The 16,014-nt window shown below is 50.8% G+C and overlaps 1 protein-coding gene and 1 pseudogene across 3 annotated transcripts, besides 4 other annotated features; both read left to right on the top strand.

The window, feature by feature from the left end:
• Nucleotides 110–611: an enhancer, noted in NCBI's record as "H3K27ac hESC enhancer chr17:42102423-42102924 (GRCh37/hg19 assembly coordinates)". NCBI's record gives its function as "activates a minimal SCP1, AML or CMV promoter by ChIP-STARR-seq in naive H9 embryonic stem cells {active_cell/tissue: H9 hESC(naive)}" and the evidence as "EXISTENCE:reporter gene assay evidence [ECO:0000049][PMID:30033119]".
• Nucleotides 443–646, top strand: LOC124904152 (uncharacterized; annotated as a pseudogene).
• Nucleotides 2,451–14,478, top strand: TMEM101 (transmembrane protein 101). Of its 3 annotated transcripts, none has more exons than NM_001304813.2 (5): nt 2,451–2,627; nt 10,511–10,682; nt 11,129–11,309; nt 12,511–12,657; nt 13,430–14,478. In NM_001304813.2, the coding sequence occupies exons 3-5, from the start codon at nt 11,166–11,168 to the stop codon at nt 13,736–13,738; spliced, it is 600 nt and encodes a 199-aa protein (NP_001291742.1). In that variant the 5' UTR covers nt 2,451–2,627; nt 10,511–10,682; nt 11,129–11,165; the 3' UTR covers nt 13,739–14,478. The 3 variants fall into 3 exon arrangements, with proteins under 3 accessions (NP_001291742.1, NP_001291743.1, NP_115752.1); NM_001304814.2 differs by lacking the exon at nt 2,451–2,627 and adding an exon at nt 6,219–6,428; NM_032376.4 differs by lacking the exons at nt 2,451–2,627; nt 10,511–10,682 and adding an exon at nt 10,703–10,850.
• Nucleotides 8,731–9,025: a silencer, noted in NCBI's record as "tiled region #15580; HepG2 Repressive non-DNase unmatched - State 18:Pol2". NCBI's record gives its function as "represses a minimal TATA promoter and a strong SV40 promoter by Sharpr-MPRA in HepG2 cells {active_cell/tissue: HepG2}" and the evidence as "EXISTENCE:reporter gene assay evidence [ECO:0000049][PMID:27701403]".
• Nucleotides 10,361–11,560: an enhancer, noted in NCBI's record as "BRD4-independent group 4 enhancer chr17:42091474-42092673 (GRCh37/hg19 assembly coordinates)". NCBI's record gives its function as "activates an origin of replication core promoter dependent on BRD2, P300/CBP, MED14 and CDK7 cofactors, and independent of BRD4, by STARR-seq in HCT116 cells {active_cell/tissue: HCT116}" and the evidence as "EXISTENCE:reporter gene assay evidence [ECO:0000049][PMID:35650434]".
• Nucleotides 14,111–14,405: a silencer, noted in NCBI's record as "tiled region #11566; K562 Repressive non-DNase unmatched - State 17:Gen3'". NCBI's record gives its function as "represses a minimal TATA promoter and a strong SV40 promoter by Sharpr-MPRA in K562 cells {active_cell/tissue: K562}" and the evidence as "EXISTENCE:reporter gene assay evidence [ECO:0000049][PMID:27701403]".

The raw sequence follows: 16,014 nt of genomic DNA, 5'->3' as shown, positions 1-16,014 counted from the left end.
AGAGCAGGTTGTGGGTCTCCAGAAGGAAGTGAGGAAAGAGGCTGGGGGTGAGCTCTGCTCCCCTGGATGCAAGGCCTTAAGGCTGGGGATTTCCTAAGCCTGTCCCACATGCTCACCCTTGGGGCTGCGGCTTCCCTGAGAGCTGGGCTCTGGGAGGAGGCCAGATAGGCAGGAAACTAGAGCCCAGATTCTTTCCACTGCCATTCCTGGGCTGGGGCTGCACTCAGGTGCAGGTGTTGCCAGGAACACAGGTGAGTGCATTGGACTTTCACAGCCTGAGGCCCTATCCTCAGTGGCCAGACAGGGCCAGGATCTAGTTGATGCTCTGACCTCTGGCAGAACGGGAGCTCCACAAATGTTGGCTGCATGAGAGCAATTGAGTGCATGTTTGGGGGCCGGGGAAGGCAGAGTTTCTCCTGGGTCCCTCTAGAAAGTCAGTGAGAAGCTTGTACTCTCAGTGATCATTGCTGTAGTTACGAGATAAGCTTCTCTGAACATGCAGAGCAGTGGTAACTATGAGGAGGCACAGTCTCTCCTGAGCATGACTCTGGCTGTTGGTGTGGCTTTGCTGCAGCTGCCGTGTGCCATTGATGATCCTGCTCCTCTTCCTTCGGGAAAGTAAGAGGGAGAGAACAGTCTGAGTGGGGGTGAAAGTCAGTGAGCTGCAGTGTGGGGTGGGAGGAAGGAGGTGCAGAGGATTACAGGCCATCTTCCCTGATTGCTCCTCATCCAGCAGGAAGAAGGAATGAGAGGTGGTTAAGGGAGGGGGATCCGAATGCTGGGGTCTCAGGCCAAGAGGGTTCTTGCCAGAAGCTTAGGTAACATTTAAAATCATGGGAGGTGGAGACAGGGTGTCTTTGAGTTGATGTTTGGGCACCCAGCAAATGGTGAGACCCCGAATGGCATCTACTTGTGTTTTTCTCCCCTAGCATCACTGTGCTTGCCAGGGTCCCAGGCGGAGGAGTGAGGCCTGAAGGTCTCAGCAGCCATGAGTGCTTGATGCCATCCTCACCCCAGCCCTTCATGCAGCAAGGACGGGGTGGGTGTGGCCACACCTCCCTCACAATGGCTATAGTCATGGTGGCATCAGTCTTTCTCAGGAGTCTGGTGGCAGCATGCCCAATACCATGCACCTGCCCTACCTCAGGCAGCGTGGTGGACTGTGGGGGCCTCCACCTGCTCTGTCTCCCTTCCAGGCTGCCTGATGGAGTCTGGCTCCTGGAGCTGAGCCACAATAATCTCAGCCATCTGCCGGCTGGCGCCTCCAGGGCTTTTGGGGACTGCGGGTGTTGCTGCTTTCTCTCAATATCCTGCGGGATCTGTCTGATGGGGCCCTAGGGGGCCTCAGTTTCCTGGAGCAGCTGAACCTCAGCCATAACCAGCTGGCCCATCTGCCCACAGACTTCTCGGCTACCCTGGGCTCTCTGCTCTGCCTGGACCTCTCTCACAACCTACTCACTTCCCTGGACCCCACCAGCCTGTGGCGCCTGGGGGGCCTGGAGCAGCTCAACCTGAGCCACAACCAGCTGGCTGAACTGGCCGCAGGGGTCTTTGGGGGCCTCTTCCACCTACACTGGCTCTCGCTGGCTGGGAACCAGCTGCAGCGGGTGAAGGGTGCTGCCCTGACCACTGTGCCGGGCTTGGAAGTCCTCTCTGTAGCTGGGAATGACATCAGTGAGCTGGAGGCCGAGGCGTTTGCAACCTTAGGAGCACTGGGCCTTCTCTCTCCTGGGTAACCGACTGCAGCACCTGGAGGTCAAGGCAGTGGCAGGCATCCGGACAGCAGGCATGCGGCTGCTGTTGTTGGATAACCCCTGGACACGTGACTGACCTGCAGTGAGCCTTCGGAAAGTTGGGTCACCTGCGGCACTTGAGTGTCGTAGACCTGGGCATCCTGACTTGCGCTGGGCCCGAAAGGCTGTCAGGGGCAGTGCTGAGTGGTGTGGAGGCCCAGCTTTGCCTGGCTGAGACTGCCACTGTGCTGGGCATCACAGGCACCGTGCTGCTCACAGTGGCTGTGGCTGTGCTGATGGCTGAGCGCAAGCGAAGACAGGGCCCGCAAGAAGCCGGGGAGCTGGGGAGCTTTCTGGAGAGGTAAGGGGTGCTGCAGAGCAAGGTCAAGGCAGCTGGAGGAGGGAGAGCAGAGGAAGGTGTGAGAGAGGAAAAGGGAAGTTCCTCAGAAGTCTGTGGAGCTCAGTTGTCTGCGGAAAAGTTGAGGAAACACTTTTCCTCAGTTGTCTGAGGAAAAGTTAAATATTAAATTTGAACTCAGTTGAACATGGACACAAACAATGGTCACCAAGTCCTGGAACAGGTTGTGTGAGCCCTTGAGGCATTCATCCAGCACTGTTTCGGAGAAATCTCTATTTCAATCTATTCCTATACGTTAGTTATTGAAAAACAATAGACACTCGCAAAAACAAGTTGACCTTTTTGTGTTCCTTGAGCCCAGTCACGAAGGGCCCTTGTGACTGGAGCTCATGCCAAACAACTCGTTACAAAAGAGCTAGGGTCCCAGACTGCGCCGAAGCTTCATGAGACCTCTCCTCGTCTGTGCACGGACGAGTGGCCGACTCTGGAGCCCAGGCTGTTGCTTCCCAGACTGGTGGTGAATCCTCCATAGTCTGGTGAGTGTAAATATATATATCTCTTTTCCCTTCTCCCCTTCCTATTGCAATTTGCTTATTGTATCATTTGCTTATTATATTAATTTGCTTATATCATTCGCTTATTATATCTGCATTGCCATTTACATGGGATAAAGCTAGTTTACCCTTAAAGGTATTTTGTGTGTGCACCTTTTCTTCTCCCCTCATGCGTCTCTCACACAGAACATTTTTGGTGTCACAAACAGAATCCGAAAGAAAAAGCATGCCATTTTTCGGCTGCAAGGACCAGGCTGGGAGCTTGGAGACTTCCCATATCCAAGGATGGGAACTCCCCCAGTTCTTCCCCGTGGCCATTGAGTGGTCCAAGGGAATTGGCCTTTGTGAAAATTGGGAATCTAAATTAGTGCAATTTGAACCTTTGTGCGTGAAGTGCTGCAGGGAATCCCAGTTGGTAAAGGGGATGCTGAGGGAATTTCCCTGCGTGGATGGTGCTTGCTTACTGCTTATAAGTTAATGTGTCAAGATAGGGACTGGTTGCTACAGGAGAAATGTAAGCTGGAAAAGGAAAATGCTAATCTGACTTCCAGACTGGTCCTGGCCCAATGCCAGGCCTATGTCTTGACTGATCAGGCTCAAAGCTATCAGCCTATTGATGAAAAAAGCATCTGTTTGAGTGGCCCAGTCAGTGTACTGGAAGTAGAAGTACTGAAGAAGTAGTCAGCCAGGGTTTGGAGCAGGTACAAACCCAGCTCCTATCTCAAAGATGGGAAATTAACCCTAGTAAAATTCAAGGACCTGCACAAACAAATTCCTTGGCATCCTATGGAATAAGGGAAATAATCCGTTTTACCAAAGGCTAAGGCTAAAATACTAGAATTTGCAACCCCTACCAATAAAAAGGAAGCCCAGAAATTGGCTTGTTTGGATTCTGGAAACGTCATATTCCCCATTTGGGTAACATTTTACAACCTCTGCATGCAGTCATTAGAAAACGCTATGACTTTCACTGGGGAGAGAAAGAGACCATGGCTTTTGAACAAGCTAAACAAGCAGTGCAACTGACCCTAGATCTGTGGTCCCTATGGTGATGGCCCAGTAGAACTGCAAGTAACTGTCCTAAATCAACATGCTAATTGGAGCCTTAGGCAGAAACAAGATGGGAAGAGGGTATCTTTGGAGTTTTGGACCTGGAAGCTGCCAGAGGCCGGCAAAGCTTATACCCCTTTCAAGAAATTGTTAGCTTGCTGTTGGGCTTTGCTGGAAACGGAGCACCTCTGCTTCAACCATGATGTCTTTATGATTATGACTTGGGTCATGAGTTCTCCCAAAACTCACCGGTTCTGATGAAGGAAGTGGTGGGAGCAGCCAGCTGGCTGAATTGGTAGCCGTCCTCGAAGCTCTTCAGGAGGAGGCCAGAGGGATTTGTCACTTGTAGAAAAACTTGGTCAGTAGCAAACGGTCTCACTACTAGGATGCCCCAGTGGCAACGAAACAAATGGTTAATTGGGAATAAAGAGGTTTGGGGAAAACAATACTGGGAAGATATCTGAATCCTTGCGCACACTACCATTATCTCTGTTTGCCATGTTGGTGCTCATGCGTCTCTGCTTTTTCTTGACAGACTATTTAATCAGCAGGCAGATCAACAGGCCAAAATTTCCACCATAACTGCAAACTTGAATGCGGATGAATGGATTACAACATGGTCAAACCTTGCAATGAGAGGCATTATAATGTATGGTGCTATAATTGATAGTGATTACCGGGGAGAGTTAAAGGTCATTTTATACAATACCACTCCAGATTCTTTTGCTATAAAACCGCAGATGCAGGTTGCTCAATTGTTAGTGGTATCTTGTCAACAACCCCCGAGGAAATTTCCACCCCAATAGAAACAACATATAGAACGGAACATTCAGGTCCACCAGAGTGGGCAACTTAAATCCTGGAGCTAAAATATGGGTACAGTGTCCATCAGATCCTGCCCCTAAGACTGCTGACCTTGTAGCTATTGGAGCAGAATATGAAGGCACAGTACAATTTCCTAAAGATGAAAAACAGTATCATGTTCCCCTCCATTTTTGTTACTACAGAGAATAACCTGTCTGCTAGTAATCAGCACCTGGATCACCATGTCTGAGGCTGAGAATGAGTTCATCAACTGGGTAGCCACTGCTGCAATAGAAGCCAACTGCAGTCAGTGCTGGCTCTGTGTTGAGTTGCCAGAGGCCGCTGGGAATGGGCTACCTTGGAGAATTGTCCCTGCTAACATTTCTGAATGGATATGCCAATACCAATGGGAGTGGGATAACACTTGGTTTTGTTTTGATTTTTTGAGCCAGAGTGTCTCTCTGTCGCCCAGGCTGGAGTGCAGTGGCACGATCTTGGCTCAGTGCAACCTCTGCCTCCTGGGTTCAAGCGACTCTCCTGCCTCAGCCTCCCAAGTAGCTGGGATTATAGGTGCATGTCGCCACGCCTGGCTAATTTTTTGTATTTTTAGTAGAGACGGGGTTTCACCATATTGCCCAGGCTGATGTCAAACTCCTGAGTTCAGGTGATCTGCCCTCCTCGGCCTCCCAAAGTGCTGGGATTGCAGGTGTGAGCCACCGCGCCTGGCCCGGGATAACACTTGAAATCCAACCTGGACTTCTTTTAACCAAACAGTCTATTTTTGCCCTTGCCCAAACAAAACACAGCACCTTTGTTACTTCAATTACACATTACAGCGATACAATTATAGGAGAACTCTTCCTGTTCCCTGGGGGGCCCTCTAGGTATGCGAATCCTACAGGTGGCAATACCTGCTTGGACGGGGAGACACACTTGGGGGTGGCCATTAATTCCATTCACCATCTGGGATAATATTTCTCTCCCCAGTAATCTAGATGCTTACAAACATTGCTGGTTATGAATGCGCCGGACTCCCTGGTGACGGTACCCTATCACAGTATTCTCCCCTGCCACCGGTACAATCCTGCTTCAGCAACAAATTCAAACATTCAGCTTACATGTAGAAAAAGCTCTTAATGATAGTAGCATGGAACTTATGTTGTAATCAGATAAATTTGCTCAGCTGTGTACTGTCATGTTGCAAAGTCAAATGGCATTAGGTTTGCTTACTGCAGCCCAAGGAAAGGTTTGCCCCTTACTGCATCCTGAATGTTATGTGTATATCCCTGACAATTCTCACAATATGAATCTCCTTGCAAAGCCATGAGGGGTGTGGTTTTTATTAATTATGCTTTTAGTTCTCCTGTGCTTACCCTGTATCTGTAATCTATATCAATTGTGGCTTCCCTGTGTATCCGTAAGAGTATTTTCCTACAGTTGAGTATCAGATTGAGGCCAAATGTGGAGGAAAAGTTAAATATTAAATTTGAACTCAATTGAACATGGACACAAACAATGGTCACCAAGTCCCGGAACAGGTTGTGTGAGCCCCTTGAGGCATTCATCCAGCGCTGTTTCAGATAAATCTCTATTTCAATCTATTCCTATATGTTAGTTATTGAAAAACAACAGACAATCGCAAAAACAAGTTGACCTTTTTATGTTCCTTGAGCCTGGTCATGAAGGGCCCTCGTGCCTGGAGCTCATGCCAAACAACTCATTACAAAAGAGCTAGGGTCCTAGATTGTGCCGAAGCTTCATGAGACCTCTCCTCGTCTGTGCACGGACGAGTGGCCGACTCTGGAGCCCAGGCTGTTGTTTCCTAGTCTGGTGGTGAATCCGCCATAGTCTGGTGAGTGCAGTGTCCGACTCTCGAGCCCAGGCTGTTGCTGTTGCTTCCCAGTCTGGTGGTGAATCCTCCATAGTCTGGTGAGTATAAATACATATATCTCTTTTCCTTTCTCCCCTTCCCATTGCAACTTGCTTACTATATCATTTGCTTATTATATCTGCATTGCCATTTATGTGGGATAAAGCTTGTTTACCCTTAAAGGTATTGTATGTGTGCCTTTTCTTCTCCCCTCACTCGTCTCTCGCACAGAACACTAGGCAGGGGTAGGAGGAACTGGGAGTGGGGGGACCACAGGGACAAATGGCTGTGTTCATTTCTCAGGGGCCAGGCCACCCACCCATCCCCCTCTTCTGGCCTGATAGCATGCCAGCATCTGTCCCAACCCTAGAAATGAGGATTTGGCCCCAGGTCCTTCCCTTCTCAGTATCCCTCTGGGAAAGAGGAAAGAGCAGGAAAAGGTAGAGAGGGACTTCAGCCCTGAGAAGGGGCGCAGTGGGTACCAAGGCAAGCTTCCTCAATCCAATCTTCCCCTCCCCCTGACACAAGTCCCTGGCCACTGCTGCTGGAGACTTGATTGGAAACTGCTTGCTAAGGTTATGATGGGAGGGTGGGGCATTGTGCCTATAGGGACAACCCAGGCAGACTCCTAGGACTATTTTATGGACATGTTGTACACAATCCTGGTTCTGGTCCTCGTCAACACTTTAGGGCTGTACACCTCAGCCATTTGAAACGGAGAGGTGAGGAGACTGGAAAAATAAAACCAACTGGAAAGTTGATTCTGTACTATGTGCCTATATTGTGGTAAAGGAAATTTGTTTTGTGTGGTTGTCACTGGTGGGTAGAGATAGACAAAATTACCTTTAACCCAGACTTTTTCTCATTCTCCTTGCCTAGAGACCTCCCCACCCTCCAACATACACGTATACAATCTCATTCCCTAGTTCTTTGCATCTATATGTTCCTCTCTCGTGTTTTTTTACTTTTTAGAGATGGGGGTCTTGCTTTGTCACCCAGGGTGGAGTGCAGTAGTGCAATCATAGCTCAATGCAGCCTCAAACTCCTCGAGGAATCCTCTTGCCTCAACCTCCTGAGTAGCTGGATTACAGATGTGGGCCACCATGCCTGGCTTCTCATGGTCTTTCTGATTTACCCAGACCTTATCCTAGTGACTGTGTTTGTTTATTTATGAGATAGAGTCTTGCTCTGTCATCCAGCCTGGAGTGCAGTGGTGCGATCTCGACTCACTGCAACTACCTCCTCCCAGGTTCAAGCGATCCTTCTGCCTCAGCCTCCTGAATAGTTGGGATCACAGGCTCCCGCCACCATGCCCAGCTAATTTTTAGTAGAGATGGGGTTTTGCCATGTTGGCCAGGCTGGTCTCGAACTTCTGGCCTCAAGTGATCCACCCGTGCCTCTGCCTTCCAAAGTTCTGGGATTACAGGTGTGAGCCACCATGCCCGACCCTAGTGGCCGGTTTAAAATGAAATGTGAAAAGGGGTTTTATTGCCCACCTTTCACTGGCTGGTTGGGAATTTTTTTTTTTTTTTGAGACAAGAGTTTCGCTCTTGTCGCCCAGGCTGGAGTGCAATGGCGCGAACTTGGCTCACTCCAACCTCCGTCTCCCAGATTCAAGCAATTCTCCTGCCTCAGCCTCCCAAGTAGCTGGAATTACAGGTGCCTCCCACCATGCCTGGCTTTTTTTTTTTTTTTTTTTTTTTGAGATGTTGTCTCACCTTGTCACCCAGGCTGGAGTGCAGTGGCGCGATCTCGGCTCACTGTAAGCTCTGCCTCCTGTGTTCACGCTATTCACCTGCCTCAGCCTCCCGAGTAGCTGGGACTGCAGGCGCCTGCCACCACTCCTGGCTAATTTTTTTTGTATTTTTAGTAGAGACGGGGTTTCACTGTGTTAGTCAGGATGGTCTCGATCTCCTGACCTCGTGATCCTTGGCCTCCCAAAGTGCTGGGATTACAGGCATGAGCCACCGTGCCCAGCCTAATTTTTTGTATCTTTAGTAGAGATGGGTTTTCACCATGTTGGCCACGCTGGTCTCGAACCCCTAACCTCAGGTGATCCAACCCCCCACTTGGCCTCCCAAACTGCTGGGATAATAGGCGTGAGCCACCACACCCGGCCTGGTGGGAATTTTTTTTTTTTTTTTGAGACAGAGTCTCTCAATCTGTCGCCCAGGCTGGAGTGCAGTGGCGTGATCTCGGCTCACTGCAAGGTCCGCCGCCCAGGTTCAAGCGATTCTCCTGCCTCAGCCTCCCAAGTAGCTGGGACTACAGGCGCCCGGAGTAGCTGGGATTACAGCCATCACGTCTGGCTAATTTTTGTATTTTTAGTAGAGACGGGGTTTCACCATCTTGGCCAGGCTGGTCTTGAACTCCTGACCTCGTGATCCACCCGACTCGGCCTCCTAAAGTGCTGGGATCACAGGCGTTAGCCACCGCGCCCAGCCCAACACCTTTTCATTTATCTGTACAGCACATATTTCCTGAGGGCATCCTGTATACTAGGTCCTGAGGGCATCCTGTATACTACAGATGGTTCCCAGCATTGGAGTTTTCAACTTTACATTGGTGCGAAAGCAGATCTGCATTCAGTGGAAACTGTATTTCTCTTACAATGCTGGGCAGTGTCAGCAAGCCACAGCTTCCAGTCAGCCACACATTTTCAACTTACAGTATTTTCAACCTATGATGGGTTTATCAGGATATAACTCCATCACAAGTCAAGGAGCATCTGTAAACAGTAAACAGAAACCCAGGCACCGTGTTTGTGCTTAGGGAGCTTGCGATCTAGTAGGGGAAGATTGTCAATAAAACAATCACAAATATATTGGCTGGGTGCGGTGTCTCACGCCTGTAATCCTAGCGCTTTGGGAGGCCAAGGCGGTTGGATCGCTTGAGGTTAGGAGTTCGAGAGCAGCCTGGCCAACATGGTGAAACCCTGTCTCCACTAAAAATAAAAATTAGCCGGGTGTGGTGGCAAGCGCCAGTAATCCCAGCTACTTGGGAAGCTGAGGCAGGAGAATCGCTTGAACCTGGGAGGTGTAGGCTGTAGTGAGCCAAGATCGCACCACTGCACTCCAGCCTGGGTGACACAGTGAGACCCTGTCTCAAAAATAAAAAAAAAGCATATATATGTAAAGCAGATATATATATATGTGTGTGTGTGTGTGTGTGCGTGTGTATCTATATCTATCTATCTATCTAATTGCCACCGTGCCAAGTGATTCAAAGGAAGGTAGCTGATGTTATGAGAACATATAAACGGGTGGGGCGTGGGAGAAGGGGCTGAGAACACACTGGAGGGGAATGCAGAGACCACCTGGATGTCTGCTGCAATTAAACTGACAAAGTATGACAATTTGGGTTACAGCGGGAGCATGGCAGCTGGAGAAATGGACTGACTTGAGATGTCCCAGATGTTCAGATCTCCTTTTTCTCTCAGGGCACAGGCAAAAGGCAAACCCAAAGAGGTGACTTTGAGCCAGGAGGACCCCTTACTTTGATCTTAACAGAAACGGGGGTTTCCTCTGGTGCGTTATGTGTATCATTTATTGAACCACTACTATGTACTAGGACCGACCTTGTCACATTTAAAGTTCACAACTCTGGCCTGGCGCGGTGGCTCATGCCTGTAATCCCAGCACTTTGGGAGGCCGAGGCGGGCGGATCACGAAGTCAGGAGATCGAGACCATCCTGGCTAAGACGGTGAAACTCCGTCTCTACTAAAAATACAAAAAATTAGCCGGGCGTGGTGGCGAGAGCCTGTAGTCTCAGCTACTCAGGAGGCTGAGGCAGGAGAATCGCTTGAACCCAGGTTGCGGAGGTTACAGTGAGCCAAGATCGTGCCATTGCACTCCAGCCTAGGCGACAGAGTGAGACTCCGTCTCAAAAACAAAACAAAACAAAAAAAAAAGAAAAAAAAAGTTCACAACTCTGAGGTAGGTGTAATTATCCCCATTTCATGATGAGTCTCATAAAGTTTAGGTGATGTGCCCAGAATCACACAGGGTTGGAATCAGGATTAGGGCCCTGATCGGGCTGCATTCAAAGACCAGTTTGCTTCAATACATCATACTACGGTCCAAGACTTCTGCTATCCTGAACCCACTGTTCCTTCCTCTAGTCTAGTTTTCAAATTCGCAGGGACAAATATGGCCCTGAAGGCTCCATGAGCAGACGAGAAGGCTGGACTTCGCAACTGGGTCACCTTAGATCCGGAACTAGAGAATGACACCGTTGTTTCCGGGAGGAAAAAGAAAAAGCGCTTGACCCGGAAGCTGCGTGTCCCATCCCCGCGCCTGCTTCTCTGACTGGGGTGAGGCCGCAGCGGACTGCCCTTTCCCAAGATGGCGTCGAAGATAGGTTCGAGACGGTGGATGTTGCAGCTGATCATGCAGTTGGGTTCGGTGCTGCTCACACGCTGCCCCTTTTGGGGCTGCTTCAGCCAGCTCATGCTGTACGCTGAGAGGGCTGAGGCACGCCGGTGAGCAGGCCTACGCAGCCGCTAAACGCGGCAGGGGGCGGTGATGTGGGCAAGAAATTGGGGGCTAGAAGTCGGGACCCTTGAACTGGGAGGAATTGGGACCTCCCTGGGAGGGGTTCTGGTCTGGGTGTCGGACCAAATCTGGTAGGGCGGTCCTGCCCATGGGAGGGGAGTCTGGTTTGGGGGAGCAGTGGAGCCTGTGGGAACTCAAGGGGTCTCAAGCTTCTTCCCCCACCGCTTCATTCTGTCCTCGTTGCTTCCCCACTCCCGGCTCGCAGGAAGCCCGACATCCCAGTGCCTTACCTGTATTTCGACATGGGGGCAGCCGTGCTGTGCGCTAGTTTCATGTCCTTTGGCGTGAAGCGGCGCTGGTTCGCGCTGGGGGCCGCACTCCAATTGGCCATTAGCACCTACGCCGCCTACATCGGGGGCTACGTCCACTACGGGGACTGGCTGAAGGTGAGCGCCTCGGCCCCAAAAGGGTCTTCCCTCTGGGTGACGGGGAATCAGAGGCCAATGCCCAGGGCTGTTGGTGGGCGATGAATGGTGCTGGCCAGCTGCACAGTGTGAAGCCTGGGAGGTTCGAACCCCTTGGCTTATGGAGATTACAGAGCGCAGAAATGGATCTTAGAGACCACACAAACTTCCTCTTCAAAGTGTGGAAACTGAGGTCTAGAGATGGGAAACAGACTTTCCCAAAGCCACAATACAGGATACTGGTGGGACCAGAACCCCGGTCACCTGGTTCCCAGAATCTTTTAAACTGTTAGTTTAGTAATCTCAGACTCATGGGGTACAAAGGACCTTGGAGAGTACCTAGTTTTCATAAAATAAATTTTATGAAAATGTAATTACTGTTAGTATAGCATTTAAGCCAGAACCTGTGCCAGGCCCTGCAGGCTGGAGATAAGGTTGGACAAAGGCACTGTCCTTGAGGAAGAGACTGTCAGACCCTTAGGGGAGGAAGATGTGTGAACAGCTACAGGGCAGCAAGATCAATGTTTTTGTGGCATAGATCCCATGCCATGTAGAATAAAGAACACCAAGATTAGAGTCTACAGATCTGAGAGTGGGGAAGGGAGAAACACATTGTGTCTGGGTTCTGCCACTTACTGGCAGGTAGGACCTGCCAGTTTTCTTTTTTGTTGTTGTTTTTTGAAACAGAGTCTCTCTCCGTCGCCCAGGCTGGAGTGCAGTGACGCTGTCTCAACTCACTGCAACCTCCGCCTTCCAGGTTCAAACGATTCTCCTGCCTCAGTCTCCCAAGTAGTTGGGATTACAGGCGCCCTTCCCCACGCCCGACTAATTTTTGTATTTTCAGTAGACAGGGTTTCCTCATGTTGGCCAGGCTAGTCTCAAACTCCTGACCTCAGGGTGATCCACCTGCCTCGGCCTCCCAAAGTGCTGGGATTACAGGCGTGAGCCACTGCGCCTGGCCAGACCTGACAGTTTTCTTAACCCTCTGGGCCTCAGTTTCTACTTCTATATATATATAAAAAGAATGATCTGTCTCTGTTGCACCTGCCCACCAAGCTTGGAAATGTAAGAGGGTTCATCAGATGGAATGGGATGTGTAGAGAGGGGTGGTTCTACACTCTGGGAAGCCAGGAGAGATGTGGCGGCTGCAGTTCTTGACTGGGGTCCCCTTACCCCGGCCTAGGTCCGTATGTACTCGCGCACAGTTGCCATCATCGGCGGCTTTCTTGTGTTGGCCAGCGGTGCTGGGGAGCTGTACCGCCGGAAACCTCGCAGCCGCTCCCTGCAGTCCACCGGCCAGGTGTTCCTGGGTATCTACCTCATCTGTGTGGTATGTTGGGGGACTGTTGGTTGGAGGTGCCTGGCTGGGAGTGAACTGTGAGTCTAGGCATGGCAGAACCCCAGGAAGGTAGACACAGAACGAGGCCCTGAGTGCAGTTCCTGATGGCCCAGTTCCCTGGGAATTGCCCTGGCCAGCTTCTAGGCCTCAGGGGCCCTCCAAATGCCTGTTGAGAGGCCCTTCCTCCAACAGTGTTGCCACGAGGTAGACTGGCCATTAAATTTCAACCCTGAGAGCCAGGAGAACAAGATGGGGTGATTCTCTCATGGCTCCAGCCCCCAAAGGACTAGAAGGGGATAAAGGAGAGGTTTGGTGGGGGTCAGGCCCCAGCTGGGACTCTGCCCCCTAGAGCTGATGAGAGCTCTAGGGTAGCCACTTATGGTTCTCCCTGGTGCTAGGGGAGGCCAGGGTGACTGGAGACATGGACAGGCGCCAGGCCATTAGGTCTTATCTTAATTACCGAGTATATCTCTGTACAGCTCTCTGTGTGGGCTCCCATATTCAGAGGTGGGAGCTCTAGTCTGACTGTGGAAATACACTTCCTTCATAGCCCCTAGGGTGAGGGGAGACATGGGCCCTAATCTCCTGGGGCTCCATAGTCCGAGGGGGAGACAAAGGCCCTACTTTCAGAGGTTCCCCAGTCCAAGAGGGGAGTCAGAAGCCCATCTGCAGGGACTCATTTGCAGGTGCCATCTCAGGGGTGGTTTACCCCAGACAGGCTTCTGAGCCTGTTGGAGAGTCTTAGAGGATGTTATGTCTCCAGGCCTACTCACTGCAGCACAGCAAGGAGGACCGGCTGGCGTATCTGAACCATCTCCCAGGAGGGGAGCTGATGATCCAGCTGTTCTTCGTGCTGTATGGCATCCTGGCCCTGGCCTTTCTGTCAGGCTACTACGTGACCCTCGCTGCCCAGATCCTGGCTGTACTGCTGCCCCCTGTCATGCTGCTCATTGATGGCAATGTTGCTTACTGGCACAACACGCGGCGTGTTGAGTTCTGGAACCAGATGAAGCTCCTTGGAGAGAGTGTGGGCATCTTCGGAACTGCTGTCATCCTGGCCACTGATGGCTGAGTTTTATGGCAAGAGGCTGAGATGGGCACAGGGAGCCACTGAGGGTCACCCTGCCTTCCTCCTTGCTGGCCCAGCTGCTGTTTATTTATGCTTTTTGGTCTGTTTGTTTGATCTTTTGCTTTTTTAAAATTGTTTTTTGCAGTTAAGAGGCAGCTCATTTGTCCAAATTTCTGGGCTCAGCGCTTGGGAGGGCAGGAGCCCTGGCACTAATGCTGTACAGGTTTTTTTCCTGTTAGGAGAGCTGAGGCCAGCTGCCCACTGAGTCTCCTGTCCCTGAGAAGGGAGTATGGCAGGGCTGGGATGCGGCTACTGAGAGTGGGAGAGTGGGAGACAGAGGAAGGAAGATGGAGATTGGAAGTGAGCAAATGTGAAAAATTCCTCTTTGAACCTGGCAGATGCAGCTAGGCTCTGCAGTGCTGTTTGGAGACTGTGAGAGGGAGTGCGTGTGTTGACACATGTGGATCAGGCCCAGGAAGGGCACAGGGGCTGAGCACTACAGAAGTCACATGGGTTCTCAGGGTATGCCAGGGGCAGAAACAGTACCGGCTCTCTGTCACTCACCTTGAGAGTAGAGCAGACCCTGTTCTGCTCTGGGCTGTGAAGGGGTGGAGCAGGCAGTGGCCAGCTTTGCCCTTCCTGCTGTCTCTGTTTCTAGCTCCATGGTTGGCCTGGTGGGGGTGGAGTTCCCTCCCAAACACCAGACCACACAGTCCTCCAAAAATAAACATTTTATATAGACATTTGGTTTTGCTTTTCTGTTCTCCCCAACAGGGAACTCTGCCATTGGCTGGGATTGATCTTGGGTTTCTTGAAACACTAGATCTGGTCAAGCCCCACCTTGGGCCTCCCGTGATCTTTCCCCTGTTCCAAGATTTCCCACAGTTCTTTGGCTCTCTCTCTTTCTTTTTTTTTTTAATTTTTCACTTCTTTATTTTTTAGAGACAAGGTCTCACTTTGTTGTCCAGGCTGGTTTCAGACTCCTTGGCTCAAGTGATTCTCCAGCCTCAGCCTCAGCCTCCCAAAGTGCTGGGACTACAGGCATAAGCCACTGTGCCCAGTGGCTCTCTTTTTCAAGAATCTCAAAATCCTCATTGTACTATATGCTTTCAATCCCTCACCTCAGTCCCTCTTGTTGTAGGTTGTCTTTTTCTCCCCATTTGGAGCTGGTTCTTATGAAGACATCTTTGGTGAGAGCAGCTAGAGGGAGAGAACTGTGAAGTGTCCACTGTGAAGTGGAATATTTTACACTTTATACATGAAGGAAATGGAGGCTCAGAGAGGATAAGCAGTTTCGGTCAAGCCACAGAGCAAATCCAGCCCACAGAGCTGGATTCCAGGTCAGGTCTGTCTAATGGTGAAGTCCAGATATGTACTCACTGTGACCCATCTCCTGAGGGGAGACAGAGGCTGCTCTATTCCAGCCCCTACTGTGCCATGATGGTCTCCCTGTTGACCTTCTCCCTTTTTTTTTGAGACGGAGTCTTGCTCTGTCACCTAGGCTGGAGTGCTGTGGCGTGATCTCTGCTCACTGCAAGCTCCGCTTCCCGGGTTCATGCCATTCTCCTGCCTCAGCCTCCCGAGTAGCTGGGACTACGGTTTTGTTTGTTTGTTTGTTTTTTGTTTTTTTTGAGACAGAGTCTCACTGTCACCCAGGCTGGAGTGCTGTGGTGTGATCTCGGCTCACTGCAACCTCTGCCTCCCGGGTTCAAGTGATTCTCCTGCCTCAGCCTCCTGAGTAGCTGGGATTACAGGTGCCCGCCACCATGCCTGGCTAATTTTTTTTTTTTTTGAGACGGAGTCTCGCTCTGTCGCCCAGGCTGGAGTGCAGTGGTGCGGTCTTGGCTCACTGCAAGCTCCGCCTCCCAGGTTCACGCCATTCTCCTGCCTCAGCCTCCTGAGTAGCTGGGACTACAGGCGCCCGCCACCACGCCCAGCTAATTTTTTGTATTTTTAGTAGAGATGGGGTTTCACTGTGTTAGCCAAGATGGTCTCGATCTCCTCACCTCGTGATCCACCCGCCTCGGCCTCCTAAAGTGCTGGGATTACAGGCGTGAGTCATCGCATCCGGCGACCTTCTCCCTTCTTGTCTATGTGTCTGCCAGAAAGTCACCCCAGCAGCAGCCGGTATGGTGCCTGCTACATTATGGAGCTTCAAAAAATGTCAAATGAAACCCCTGGGCTTTGGATTTCTGCCCATCGAGTCCTGTAGAGACTGGACACAACCACTAGTAGGGCCTAGGGGAAAACGTCCAAGTTTGAGCTTTTAAGCCAAAGCC

This window comes from Homo sapiens, chromosome 17 (assembly GCF_000001405.40).
Source record: "Homo sapiens chromosome 17, GRCh38.p14 Primary Assembly".
NCBI lineage: Eukaryota > Metazoa > Chordata > Mammalia > Primates > Hominidae > Homo > Homo sapiens.
This window is presented reverse-complemented; position numbering and strand designations above follow the sequence as displayed.

What these genes read in the sequence shown, in the direction of transcription:
- TMEM101 (NM_032376.4), top strand. Translation starts at nt 10,714, where the DNA reads ATGGCGTCGAAGATAGGTTCGAGACGGTGGATGTTGCAGCTGATCATG. An exon ending in GAGAGGGCTGAGGCACGCCG is followed by an intron (nt 10,851 to 11,128) that starts GTGAGCAGGCCT and finishes CCCGGCTCGCAG; the next exon opens with GAAGCCCGACATCCCAGTGC. An exon ending in GTATCTACCTCATCTGTGTG is followed by an intron (nt 12,658 to 13,429) that starts GTATGTTGGGGG and finishes TTATGTCTCCAG; the next exon opens with GCCTACTCACTGCAGCACAG.